Source organism: Homo sapiens, chromosome 11, assembly GCF_000001405.40.
Source record: "Homo sapiens chromosome 11, GRCh38.p14 Primary Assembly".
NCBI lineage: Eukaryota > Metazoa > Chordata > Mammalia > Primates > Hominidae > Homo > Homo sapiens.
In genome coordinates, this window is record NC_000011.10 from 12,714,042 (window position 1) to 12,727,894 (window position 13,853).

Consider the following 13,853-nt stretch of genomic DNA (forward strand, 5'->3'; position numbering starts at 1 on the left):
CAGTGGAAGAGGGAACGTGTAGATTGAATCAGGATTCTGCCTTCAAGAAAGGTGGGGTGGAGTATTTGGGTAGGCAAGAATATCTGGGCAGGCAGGAACTCGGGAGGCTGCCAGGCAGTTCATCAGGGCGGTAGCTGGGAGAAGGTTCCCAAGCAGTCACATCCAGGGCTGCTCTTTGGCTAAGGGGCAGAAGCCTCCCAAGCAGTGGCCCCAGGGAGTCTCCTGGCACAAGGAGAAGTGGAAAGGTCTTAGAGTGGGATGATAGGATCTGCACCCTGTCTTTGTCCCCAGCAGCTCTGGGCCATTTATCCTCTGTATAGTGCTCTGGGGAGAGACTGCAAATGCTTCTTTTGGCTTTTCTTTTTTTTGAGACGGGGTCTCATTCTGTTGCCCAGGCTGGAGTGCGGTGGTGGACCACACCTGGCTAATTTTTGTAGTTTTTATAGAGACAAGGTTTCACCATGTTGTTTTGGCTTTGTTAAATGAGAGCCCACTGTGTCCTGGCCTAGGCACTGAAGATATAGTGAAAGACAAATAGGCATGGACTCATCCCTCTTTCATTCATTTATTTAGTCATTCATTCCAGTAGTAGTTTCCTGGGGCTGCTGTAACAAAGCACCATAGGCTGGGGATTTAAGCAACAGAAGTGTATTTGCTCATGGTTCTGGAGGCTGGAGGTCCAAGATCAAGATGCCAGCAGGTTTGATTTCTTCCGAGGCCCCTCTTGTTGGCCTGCAGTAATGGTCTTCTTGCTGTGTCCTTGGGTGGTCTCTCCTCTGTGTGTGTCCCTAGTGTCTCTATGTCCCAGTCTCCTCTTGTAAGGACACCAGTCACACTCGGTTAGGGCCCACCTTGTTAATCACCTCTTTAAAAGGCCATGTCTCCAAATGCTGTCACATCCTGAGGTACTTGGGATTAGGGGTTCAACATACGATTTTTTTGAGGGGGAGACACAATTCAGCCCATAACAATTCCGCAGTTCTCTACCAAGTGTCAGTATGTGTCAGGCACTGCCCTCTAGGAATGTAGCTATGAATAAAACACAAAAATCTCTACCCTTATGGAGCATACCATGGGGTCGGGGAGTTTAGTGGTCTTCAGTCACCGCTTCCAGTTTCTGTTTGGGACCCATCTAACTTAGTATGATTTTAGCACCCTCCTCTCCTCCAAATTCCTTATTCCTGTAAATTCCATGCCCTGAGACCATTCCTTCACCAGAGACAAAACCCAGGGATGGAAAAGCCTCGTGACCCAGTGTAACCAGCAGAACAGGCATCAGGGACAGGAGATCCTTTCTAGTTGAGCAGGACTCCTTGAGGGATCTGAGAAACAGATAAAGCCTGGGGACTGGGGAGGAGGAGAGGGTATGGGTCTCGGGTGATGGCTGGGCAAGGAGAGGCTGTGGGCAGTTTTCTTTAGCCAAGGGCTGGTTGCCTTCGTTTCACCTGGGTGGGGGGCCCAGGTGTTCTGCTCCTGGGGAAGCTTGTTTCTGGAAGCCGCAGCAGGCTGGCTGTCTCTCTGGGGAGCTGCACGTGATGCAGACGGGGCTGCTGGAGACAGGCCTACTGGCATGGAGACCTACCTTGCAGGGGCTTTGCCAGAAGGGGTTGGGATCAGGGAGTCACTTCCTGAATGATTTGGGTTGTAGATGGGCTTATCAGATTAAAAAAAAGATGCCCAGTTAAATTTGAATATCAGATAATCAGTGTATGTCCCATGATTCAAATTTCAGGTAAGCAATATTTGGGAAAAATTTATACTAATAAATTAATTTGAATGTCATTTTTCTGACATTCACATTTAAGGGGGCATACCATTTTTATTTCCCGAATCTAGCAATCTCACCTCTAGGGGTTCCCAGATTAACAGGTGGCGATGGAAGATGGGGGAAAGACCAACAAGAACAATCGTAATTCATTTTTTTACAGTAAAAATCTTGGCCAAGGAATCATTTCCTAGCTCACCCTCCCCACCTTCCCCCCAAGACTGAGACTGTCATTTGCCCCCTTTGCATGAACAGACCTCACAGAGAGGTCATAGCCTGGTGACTTAGGATGGGCTTCCTGTCCTGCGCGGGCTCTTTGTCTGTCGGCTTCCGGCCGAGGGATGGGAGGGGGAGCAGTCTGAACACTGGTGGAAACTCCGGCCAACTCTCTCCACTGCCCTCCTTTTCTGTTGCATTGGAACCACCGGACAAGCAGAATCGCTGTGCCCCAATCCAGCCTCATCTGTCTTAGAACAGGTAGGTGTCTGCGAGGGAGTGCAGCAGAGAGTGTGACTTCCTAGGAGTTCACGGGGGGGTTCCTGCAGCCCTTGGAGAGCACCCTTTTTCTGCTGACATCCCTCCCCCCTCCATTGAGGGACCTCTGTCATTGCTGCTGAATCCCTGGACCTGAACCTGTGATCAAGAAGTAATCCTTTTTATTTTCCCCCCAGACAATGTTTAGATTTTTGAGGTCTCATTTTTAGCAGTGTCCTGGCACTTGCTTCTTAGTCAGGGGTCAGAAAACTTTTTCTGGTATAGGTCAGATAGCAAATATTTTTGACTTTGCAGGTCACCTGGTCTCTGCCACCACCTCTCAGCTCTGCTGTTGTGGTTTGAAAGCAGCCATAGACAACATGAAAACCAGTGGATGTGGCTATGTTCCAGTAAAATCTTATTTATGGACACATGTGAACTCCATGTAGTTTATTATTCCTTTGTTTTTCAACCATTAAGGAATGTAAAAACCATTCTTCCTTCATGGGCCATACAAAAACAGATGGCAGACCAGATTTGGCCTGTGAGCCATGGTTTGCCAGCCCTCTTCTAAGTCATCAGCAGAGAACATTACAGATCAGAAGCCTGGCTCTGCGTTCCCGACATAGGCGCTGAATGGCTTCCCGCCCTGAGGTCACAGCTTCTGCTGCTCCCAGGTGACTGACTGAGCTGGGATCCGAAGTAGTGGGCTTGGCCTCTCAGCTGCCCACAATGTGGGTACCAACTCACATACCATAGTTTGCTGTACAGAGAAAGGTTCCTGCATGGATTTGTAGATCTTCAGAGGATGAGCCATAAACAGTCAAGTCTGGCCATGGAATGTAATGAATGTAGTTATACTGATCATAGACTATAATATCCAGAGTGATTCGGGGCTAATAAGTAGCCAGCAGAATTGAATGTGGGGCAGTTGTATGCCTCTGGTATGCTACTTTCTGCCTACAGTTGTGTGTGTGCTTGGTATTGTGTGTTTTAAGTGAAAGGATCAATTGGATTTGAATTTCTGTCACTGGTAGGGTCTAGCTACACCTGAAACATGAGTCAGGAGGCAGGGCCCTTCATTCCTGAGTGTCTTGACTGATGGAAGCTTTGTGTTTTATGGATAGAAGATGTGCTGTGTAAGGTGGACAGTGGAATTACACCTCCACAGAAATCACTCCTGGATGGAGAATCAAGTTTGCATGTGTGCCCTGTAGCATTCATTCTTGCCGCATGCTGGGAGATGGGTGGTTATTAGGTTATGTCAAAGTAGTGTTTGCCTTAATACACGATCTTCCTGCAGTAACCCAATAATGGAAGTGGAAGGGAGGGAGGAGGGGAAGGTGATGACCTGCTTATTTGAAAGTGGGAAGCATCTGGAAGTCAAGGAAGCTTTGTGTGGTGTTAACAGGGAGCTAGTAGGGGTCTGTACCCCACTGCTCACCCCAGGCCCCTGGCAGGTTTGAATTCACTAATTCTAGTCCTCAGGTGAGGTAGCATGGCTTAGCGGTCAGCAGGACAGCATCTGGGCTCAGACTGCCTGGCTCCTGGCCCACTGTTTTTCACCTCTGCCTTTGGGCAAATTACTTCACCTTGCCATTTACTGGGTTGTACAGTGGGGGTATTAATAGAAGTACCTTCCTCATAGGGCTGTTGTAAGAGTGAAATGAGTTAACGGATATGAAGGGCTTAGAACCATGTCTGGCTCATAGTGAGCAGCACGTGAATCTTTCTTGTGGTTGTGGTGGTGGTGGTGAAGGTAGAGGAGGAAGAGTGGTTTTCTTAGCCTCTAACCTCATGCTCTGAGGGTAAGCACAGCTCTGGTAGTCATCATTCAGAGTCCGCTTATAACCCTGTCTCCTCCCACCATGTCATACAGAGACATGTGAACATCTGTGGGGACGTGCCCCAGGCATTCTTTGTGAGTAGTGGTTCACGGAGGATGCTTGGCCCAGCCACAACCTAAGGTTTTCATGCTACACCTGTCACTTGCTGGTTGTGGGACCTCTGGCAGGTCCCTAGCCTCTCAGAGCATGAAATAGAGATAATCAGGTGTCCCCCGGCCCCTCACAGGATTGTCTTGGGGGCATGACAAGATAATGAAAGTCAAAGTGCTTTGCAAACTGAAGTTCCCCTGCAGAGGAAAGGTGTGATTGCTGCTGTTGGCATCATCTTCCTCATTATGTTCTTGCATTCCCTTGGTCTCTGGGTATCCTTCCTCCAGCTTCTGTGGGGCAAGGGTTTTGAAACAATATTCACAGAATCCTGGTTTTTCCATAAAGACATTTCGATGTACCGTTGCTTTTTTTTTTGGGTGAAATTATTGATGTAATTCAAGTTTGAAGTTGTGTAATAATAATGTGCTGATTTTGTATAAGGGTATTATTTCTGAATCCAGTTCCTTCCTTTTCTTTTTTCTTTAATTACACTCTTGTCTTTAGAGTAGTGTTCTTAAGTGCAGTCCAAGGCCAGTCTAGTTGTATTCAGATGGCTTTGTTAAATTGGGTTTTCTGTGACCCAGGCTTTTTTTAAAAGGAAAAATTTCATCAAATCCCAACAACTTTCATCCTAATTTTACCTGCTTAAATCTCTTCCTGCACCCTAACTTGGGTTGAGTGGTATAAATTTTACTTTCTGATGCTTTATGTATATCATCATAATTGTTTAAGGACATAATTCTTAATTAAATCTAAAGAGCTTGAAAACTTTGGGGTTTTTTTTTTAGGGGGGGGAGTCCAAGGGTCTTCTGAACAACGCGTTTTCAAATGTGGTTGGTTTCTGGGATTCCCAGGGGTTGGGAAGCTGTCTCTTTGATGGTGACATTTCCAGGAATCAGGACAGGACTCAAGTCCTGGCTTGGGTCATTCCCAAGCCCCCTCCTCCGCAGCCTGTGTTTAGCTGACTCTGACCACAGCTAAACATGAGAGCAGTTTGGGGAGGTGATGGAAGGTACCTGGGGACCTTTGACTCTGCCTAGTGGATGAGGGACTGTGGTGGCTGCATCCTGTGGAAATGATTGCGTCCTGTGGAGGAATGCTCTTGTCTCACAGTGGGAGTAGGGAAAGTGGCTTCTATATGCTCACATTAACAAGGGTGAGATTCTGTCCCATGAGCTTCCTGAGAGAGATCCCGCTTTTGCTCCACCTCATGCCTTGCTGAGTGCAGGCAGCTCAGCCACAGTCCCTAACCACACATTGCGGCTCTCTACCTCTTAAGCTATGCTCCTTGCTTAACTCCAGATGACTTTCCAGCACATTGCTGACTCTCCCCTTTCTCTTTCCAGTCCTTTTTTTTGGGGGGAGGGGGGGCGGGGGGCTGTGTCAAAAAGGTCAGGCTAGGGGCAGGGATTTGTTTTGTATTGAAAAAGACAACCAAGGCTGAGGTAAATCTTGGCAGCCTTTTCAGAATTTAATCTGGGTGAAGCCGTGGGTTGGACATGGGGTAGGGGTATTAGGATATTGGTTCAAACTGCGAAGAACTTGGCCAGCTATACAATCTTGAGCTAATAGCTAAAAAAACTCTGACTTGAAAATTATGGTTTGTGAAAAAACATTGAGGGCATAGCCTCCTGAAAGAGGGGAGGGCTGAGTAGGAGGAACATAGTCCAGGTGGCATGATCTGTAATGAAAATTCAACTTTGCAAACCGGCGTGTGTTTGGAAATCTAATGTTTTTTTTTTTTTTTTTTTTTTTTTTTTTTTTTTTTTTTTTTTTTGGGGGGGGACCCAGCCATGCTGTGTCTTGTAGATCTCATAGCCAGTAATCTGCTGAGGTGGAGCTCTGGCCTTGGTCTCTCCTGGTAGTGAGGGGCATCTCTCATTATATAATGTTGCTCTGCTAATTAAGTCAGGAATAATGTCTATGGCATATTTAATTTCCAATTAGACTACTTTATGGATCAATTTGAATTTAATGTTAAATCTAATGTGGAAATCATTAAAAAGTTAGATCTCTAGAGAGAGGAATAGGCACTTACTCTGACTATTAAAAATAACAGTTAAGGTCATGTGTTAATACATTAAGTGTTTTTATGTGGACTGGGAAGAAATTAGTAGAGAATGCAGAACATATAGATACATAGATAGTCTGCATGCTTGTGATTTGGGGAAAATTCTGGTGTTCAGATCAAATTCTACAATGCTTATAGTAACTGCTGCAACAGATATCATTTACTGCAACTTTACTGTATGCCAGGCCCCTGGTGAGTACTTTAAATGTATTATTTAATTATCAGAACAACTCTATGAGGTGAGCATTATTACTCCCCTGTATAAATAAGGAAACTGAGGCTTGGAAGGTGAAGGTCTCATTGTCAGAAAATGGTGAAGGCAGGATTTGAATCCAAGCCAATTTCATTTCAAAATCAACTCTTGACTAGATTGAGGTGCTATGGAAGGTGCCCAATAATTGTAACCAGCAGAGCTCTGTAAGTGGTCTGAGTTTAAAGCCCATTTGCTTCTGAAGTGTTTGTTGCTGCTGATAATTTGAAGAATGGCATCAGCACTGCCATTATTGCTTTAAGGAACAGATATGGGCCCCAAGGTGCCAAGCCAAGACCCTCTCCCAGCATTCCCAGGCTAAAGGGACAGTCCTCAGAAAATGTGACTCTCTGACCATGACTTGTCTGAGGTCAGCCCCGACACTTCCTCTGGGCAACTTCTCAGAAGTTAACTCATCCAGCACCTTCAGTCTTGTGTGTACCTTGGATTTCCTTTGGACCTTGTATTCTTTATGGGTTATACTTTCTTGTATTCTTTTATTTTTCATGTTTGACTACCCTGTGTTTAGTTAGACAGAAGAATGTGGTTCTGAGTCCAGACTCTCACTTACTGCCTGGTGTATTGGACAAACCATTTAATCGTTGCTAGTTACTAGTCTCCCATGCAGTGTAGTTGTGAGGTTTCCTTGAGGACGAGTGAGTGTAGAAGCACCTGGCTCAGTGCAGGTGCAGGAAGAAAGCTTCCCTTCTTGCGTTCTTGTTCCCTCCCCTGTAGGAACAGCATCCATTTACTAATGAGATGACCAGGTTCAGGAGCACCACATTTTTTCTGGCTCTTGCGAGTGCCTACTGTTCATTTATGCAACCACTGTGTATGAGGGCACAGTATCTCCAGTCCCTGTTCTAGCAGCTGGGGTTACTTTGTGGAGTAAGAAGGATGATCTGCACACACCCCTATCCCCAGCATCCTGGAGCTGACACTATAGTGGGGAGGAGAGAAGGGGCAGGTTAATAAGCAAACAAAGAAAATAAATGCTGTATATAGTTGGATGTAGATACTCTCTGTCAGCTCACTCATTCATTCATTCACCCATTATTTCAACGAACAGTTCTAAATACACATTATGTTCCCAGCATTATGCTAAGCATGGACATGTGAAATTGGATAACGTCTGTTAGCCCAGGAATTATTTCAACAGAAAAAAAAAGTCTGGAAAATATAGATCACTCTCTTGTGTTCTTCCCTTTTGAACATCCTAACTCTTTAGGGTTAAATACTCATTTGAGCAAGTACAAGCTTCTAAATATACCCACTCCTCAAGCCCCCCGCCCCACTGTCCAGCAGGTTTTCCTGTTGATAGGACAGTGGACGTATGAGTTTGAGTGTTTGGCAGATGTTTGCATGATTCTTAGATCAGTGCTTCTCAAACATCCCTGTGCGTAAGAGTTGCCTGGGAGGCTGGTTAAATTCAGATTCAGGTGCCTCACTCCTAAATATTCTGATTCACTGGGTCTGGGTTGGTGCCAGTTGTCTGAGCTTTTAGCCTGCAGTGCAGGTGAATTGGTTGCAGGTGGTCTGTGAACCACACATGGATGAAACAGTGTCATATTCACACCAGGCTGGAAGAATGTTTAACCTCTTCAGTTTAAGGAGGAAACTATTTCCCAGGGAGTGGAGGGGCTCTGAAATTCGAAGCTACAGTGACAAGATGGGCCAGGACTTTTGAACAGAACAGATCTGGGATCTCATCCTGTCTCCACATCTCCTAAACCTGGTCATCTCCTCAGTAAATGGATGCTGTTCCTACAGGGGAGGGAAGAAGAACGCAAGAGGGGAAGACTCCTTCCTGAGTGCACACCATGCACTGAGCCAGGTGCTTCTACACTCGCTGTTCCTCAAGAAACCTCATGCAGGCAGCCTTGAATAGGTCATCCGGTAACATCCCTTTCCTCATCAGCCTGCCTTGCTAGGTGGGTAATGCTGAGAGATATGGTTGGAAAGACCCAGGCAGAGTATAGGATAGAGACTCTAGGGCTAGGTTTTGGTCCATGCTAAAAAATAACATACAAATTGGTTTCCCAAATTCCTGATGGATTATTTGAATGTGAGTTGAGTCGCTGCATATATACCCTGTGATTTCTCTCTCTTTCTTTTTTTTTTTTTTTCACAAAAATACACTATAACCGCAAAAAAGACAGTCAAACAAAAGAGGGAAAAAATTCATCCAGAACTAGCTCAGTACCCTAACACAACTGTTTTCATTTTAACTTTTAGCCCTTGTCTGTATGCAGGCATGTTTCTCTGTATCTGTAATCATATGTAGGCTCAATTTTGTATTCTGCTCTTTTCAGTAAACCTTAAGTAAATGCTTTCCAAATGGTTATGTAGTCTTCAAGATGATTTTTAATGATCTTACAATCTATCATCCCACAGGCTGAATTTACTTAACCATTCATCTACTGTTGGACATCTAGATTTTTTTTTTTCTGTAGTTCTGTGCTATTATAAGTAATACTTTGGGATATGGCCTTGTGCTTATTGTGGATTTTTTCCTTAGGGTGAATTCCCAGGAGCAGGATTTCTGGGTTAAAGGGCACAATTATTTTTTTGGCTCTCAATGGATATTGCTAAATTGCTTTCCAAAAGGGTTGTACCAGTTTATGATGCCACCAGCAGTGCGTGAAGGTACCAATTTCAGCATCTTGGCTTGCACTAGATAGTATAATTTTTACAAAAGTTTGGCTCAATGGTGCACATCGTTTAATTGATATTTCTTGGATTATGACAAGGTTGAGTATGGCTTTACTTACTATGTTTTGAGATTTTACTTAGTATTTTTGTTTTCTTACAGTCAGGACCTAGCTGTGGTTGAGGTCAGATTTTCTGTGTAGAGCTTTTCAGACTCTTGAATTTTACAGCGAAAAAACAAACCAAACTAACAAAAACCAAACCCAGAATTCATCTGTAAAATAAATACTTTGGACATATTTTGTGGTTGGATTAACTGTTCGTGATTTTAACTTCCTTATAGGTCATAAGTTAATAGGGCGGTATTTGGAGAGTAGCGGGGCTTTTCCTCTTCTCCTTAGATTCTCCTTTGTTCTTTCCCTCTACCATCCCCCCATTTCCTGTTTCCCTCCTCCCCTGTAAGCCCTGTTGTTGTCTTTTTGGAGATAAAACATAAAAGGATCAGCTTTTAGTCATGCTCCTTCAACTTATAAAATGTAGGTTGCCTAAATTATGTAGTACAGAGTGAGGATAAAGAAAATCACAGTATTGTAACACATTGCCTGTAACTGCTTTGCAAAAGCAAACGTCTCCCACGAAATCTTAGAAAGGTGTGTTTGAGGGTGTAATCTTGGCTTGTGGTGCAAGGGAGCCCAACTTGTTTTTCAAGTTGGTCTTGAATAAGTTTGTTCTTTCTGGAATGCTCGCCATCCTCAGTATGACAGAGTTCGCTTGATGACAAACTCTTTTACTCTCCTATACATACCATGGCCACTGAACTGGTTTGTTTATTTGCCTGGGGTAAATGATTGAAACACATTCCCCTTTGCAGTGGTGCTCAGCATTTGATAGATGATTCTTATTCCCCAGGCTCCTTCATGGTGATGCCAAGCCCAAGTCTAGCCTTCCAGTGGCCCCTGAGGCCACACTGTCCCCTCCGCAACAAACACTGAGAAAGACACACACTCTCTTGGGTGTGCACGTAGTTTATTGAGCTCGTGGGCTCTCCGTAATGCTGCCCCACTATGCGCATAGTAGGAGAATCCGATATTGGCAGAATAACTGGGTCTATGTACATAAAGTAGAATGATCGAGGCTCGATTTCAATTTAATTTGTTAATGAAACAAGATGGATCACATTTTCCCTTCCCGCACACCTCTCGGGCTGTTTGAGATGAGGCACAATTAATTTATTTGTACTGTCTGTGGAGGCGTATGCCAGCTAATGTAGTGCAAGAGCTTTTATCTTTATGTTTGTAATGAAGAGGGGCAGGCCGCTGGCAAATTGACAAGGAGTGCTGATGACTCATCCTCTGAATGCGAGTGCTTTCTTCTGAAATCATAAAATGCGCGTGCACACGCAAGCCTAGTTCCTGTTTGAAATGGACAGAACCCCTTTGGGAAAGTTCAGGTGCCTTTGAAACACTGCAGGGGAAAGAACAGGCCAGTGAGGCTGTTTCTCCGGCTCCCTGGCCTGTCTTGAGGGCAGAACCTCCTGCTCAGTGGGGGCCCTACTCTGGGATGGGAATTCCCATCCTCTCCCTGCCCTCTCCTCCTCGCCCCTCCTTTCCTTGGAAGGCTGGCTCCTTTGTACTGGTCTTTTGTGCTCCAGTAGGCAGCCTTCCCCACCTGCCAGGCCAGGTGCCTGGTTCACCTGGCGAGGCCTGTGCTTCCGGGGCTGCTCCCTAACCTTGATCCTGGGCAGTGCCCTGGGGCTTTGCTTTATGAGGCTGTGGATTCTGGGGCCTGGTTGATTTTAGCCTGGGAGTACACATGGGATTCCTCTGGCCTTTGCTTGAGTTCCCCAGGCCTGGGCTTGGTGGTGGCTGTGTTGTCACTCTGTTGATATGCCTCAGAAGAAATAGTTTACACAGTAACTAAAGTTGGTTTGGCCCTTTACAGTGTGTAAGGCTTTCTGGCATTAAAACAACTCTGAATTGGATATATTGTTACCCCACTTTATGGATGAGGAAATCGAGGTGCACAGAGGTTAAATGGAATGTCCATGATCAAGCAGCTAGCCGGTGGAAAGGTAGTGGGGACAAAACCTTGGACTTTAGAGTCTAAAACCTGACCTTACAATTTCTTTATAACATTCATTCATTAAGGACAAAATGAAACTTTTTCTGCATAAGAAATATATAAATTCTCTTCAAGAGTCATGTGAGAGTTTGACAGCGGACTAGAGTGACTATGGTTAACAACAACGTATTGTGTATTTCAAAGTAACTAAAAGAAAGGACTTGAATTGTTCCCAACACATAATAATGATAAATGCTCAGTGTGATGGATACCTTAAATTCCCTGACTTGATCATTACATATTCCATGCATGTAACAAAATATCACATGCACCTCATAAATACGTAAAGTATTACGTATCAGTTAAAAAAAAAATTAAAAAATATGTGAGTGAATATACAGATTTCTGTAGTTCAGTAGAATAACAGGAAATTCACAGGATGCTTTCTGGAGACTTAAAAGCAAAATGTTTGCAGTGGTCTGAGAAAGAAACCCTGAAGATTGTGGTCTAAGAAGTTTTCCTTCCTGTGTCAGATGCCTGGTCGAGCTGGTTGTACAGGAAGGCTAAGTGCATATGTCCCAGTCAGTCCTGTCACCCGGGTGTAAGCAACACAAATCACTGTGCATGGTTTTATTGAATTTCAGAGCCAGAAGGAACCATGGAGATTTTACAAATGAGGAAACTATGGCCTAGAGTGAGAGATTTTGTGTTGGGAAGAATTCCATTCATTTACCCAACCATCCTTCCACGCGTCCAACAAATATTTATTGAGCCAGTTTTGGGCTGGGAGATAAGGCTTAGGCTGTGAATGAAACAGGCACAGTCCTGTCTTCAAGGAACATAAAATAGCAGATGACACGGCTGAGCAGGAATGAGCATGGCATGGTAAGGGCAGTGATGAGTGAAGTCAGGGTAGCTTGAGGCACATAGGTGGGGCACATAACTATTGGAGTGGGAGAAGGTAGTTAGGGAAGGTTTCCTTGAAAGAGTGGTACCTCTGGTGAGACTTGAAGGATGTTGCTGAATGTCATTCTAAAAATGGAGAGGCTGTGTTGGCTGAGAATTGGGACGTCATAATTCTCAAATCCAACTGAAGTTGGTAAAAGGTTGTATGTGCTTGGAGACCGCAGATACTAGGCTCTGAGACTTAAATGCATGTAAGAAGTGGTTGCTCTAGGCCTGTGCTGTGCACTGGGGGAGTCACCAACCTTGTGCGCTATTCAGCACTAGGAAGGTGGCTAATCTGGGTTGGGATGTGTCATAAGTAAACAATGACCACTGAATTTCAAAGACTTAGTATGGGGGGAAAAAAAGTAAAACACATCATGAACAATTTTGGGCTGGGCACGGTGGCTCATGTCTATAATTCCAGCTCTTTGGGAGGCTGAGGCTGGCCAATTGCTTGAGCCCAGCAGGGGCAACATGGCGAAACCTCATCTCTACAAAAAATACAAAAATTAACCAGGCGTGGTGGCATGCGCCTGTAGTCCCAGCTACTTGGGAGGCTGAGCCTGGGGAGGTTGAGGCTACAGTGAGCTGAGATTGCTCCGCTGCATTACAGCCTGGGTGACAGAGTGAGACTCTGTTTCAAAAAACAAATGTATAATTTTGTTTATATTGATTATAAGTTGGATAATTTTTGGATGTGTTGAGTTAATAAGTTATTGAAATTAATTTCACCTGTTTCTTTTTATGTCTGAGAATGAGTCAGCTGGGTGTGGTGGCTCACAACTGTAATCCCAGCACTTTGGGAGCCTGAGGCGGGCAGATCACTTGAGGTCAGGAGTTCAAGACCAGCCAGGTCAACATGGTGAAACCCCGTCTCTACTAAAAATACAAAAATCAGCTGGACGTGGTGGTGCACGCCTGTAGTCCCAGCTACTTGGGAAGCTGAGGCAGGAGAATTGCTTGAACCTGGGAGGCGGAGGTTGCAGTGAGCCGAGATGGCACCATTGCACTCCAGCCTGGCGACAGAAACAAAAACAACAACAAAAAATGAGTCTACTAGAAACTGTAAAATGACAACTGTGGTTCACATTATAGTTCTGTGGGTGGGGATGCTGGATGGAGAGACTGACGCAGGAGAGGCAGCTCCATTGTTGGAGTGAGGGGGTTTTAGAATGAAGAGCTGTGAATCGGGTCCTGTGGGCCCTGGGGCATAGTCTGTGGTAGGCGCTTCGCATCTCTGAACCTTGCTGCCCTGTTTCTGACATCCCCTTAACTAACACCCATCCCACAGTGGGGACTGAGGATAAAGTCAGAATGCCTAGGAAAAGCATTTTTTAAAAATATTAAGTATGAAGCCATTGTGATCCATGGTTCTCTTTGTAATAAAAATTTGGGATTAAGGCCATATATACCATACTCTGTACTGTATACCGATAGTTCAAAAGACAGACAAGAAACCTGGCCAGTTATAAAATAGAAGGTCGAAGTGTGGGAAATGCATTCAGCACAGAATGAATTACAGAGTGGGAGTGGATCTGTGTGAGATGCCGTAGATAAGAAAATTCCTTTTCTGTTGCACTTGGCTTGCTCTACTCTAGGAATTCCCTCACCCTTACATGCAAGTTTGTATCCAGGCTTTCATAGTCCTTGTTCCTTGTTTTGTTTAGTCTCCAAAGGCCAACAAGGAATATCCATATC

The 13,853-nt window shown here is 44.8% G+C and overlaps 1 protein-coding gene across 1 annotated transcript in view, besides 3 other annotated features; it reads left to right on the top strand.

Annotated features, from left to right (window-relative positions):
- The window catches only part of TEAD1 (TEA domain transcription factor 1), a 270,317-nt gene that overhangs the window by 39,621 nt on the left and 216,843 nt on the right, over nt 1–13,853 (top strand). The gene's annotated exons all lie outside the window — the stretch shown is intronic.
- Nucleotides 970–1,810: an enhancer, noted in NCBI's record as "H3K4me1 hESC enhancer chr11:12736558-12737398 (GRCh37/hg19 assembly coordinates)". NCBI's record gives its function as "activates a minimal SCP1, AML or CMV promoter by ChIP-STARR-seq in naive H9 embryonic stem cells {active_cell/tissue: H9 hESC(naive)}" and the evidence as "EXISTENCE:reporter gene assay evidence [ECO:0000049][PMID:30033119]".
- Nucleotides 3,870–4,039: a silencer, noted in NCBI's record as "silent region_3163". NCBI's record gives its function as "represses an Ori minimal core promoter by ATAC-STARR-seq in GM12878 lymphoblastoid cells {active_cell/tissue: GM12878}" and the evidence as "EXISTENCE:reporter gene assay evidence [ECO:0000049][PMID:35858748]".
- Nucleotides 11,621–11,915: a silencer, noted in NCBI's record as "tiled region #14023; HepG2 Repressive non-DNase unmatched - State 23:Low, and K562 Repressive non-DNase unmatched - State 7:EnhWF". NCBI's record gives its function as "represses a minimal TATA promoter and a strong SV40 promoter by Sharpr-MPRA in HepG2 and K562 cells {active_cell/tissue: HepG2 | K562}" and the evidence as "EXISTENCE:reporter gene assay evidence [ECO:0000049][PMID:27701403]".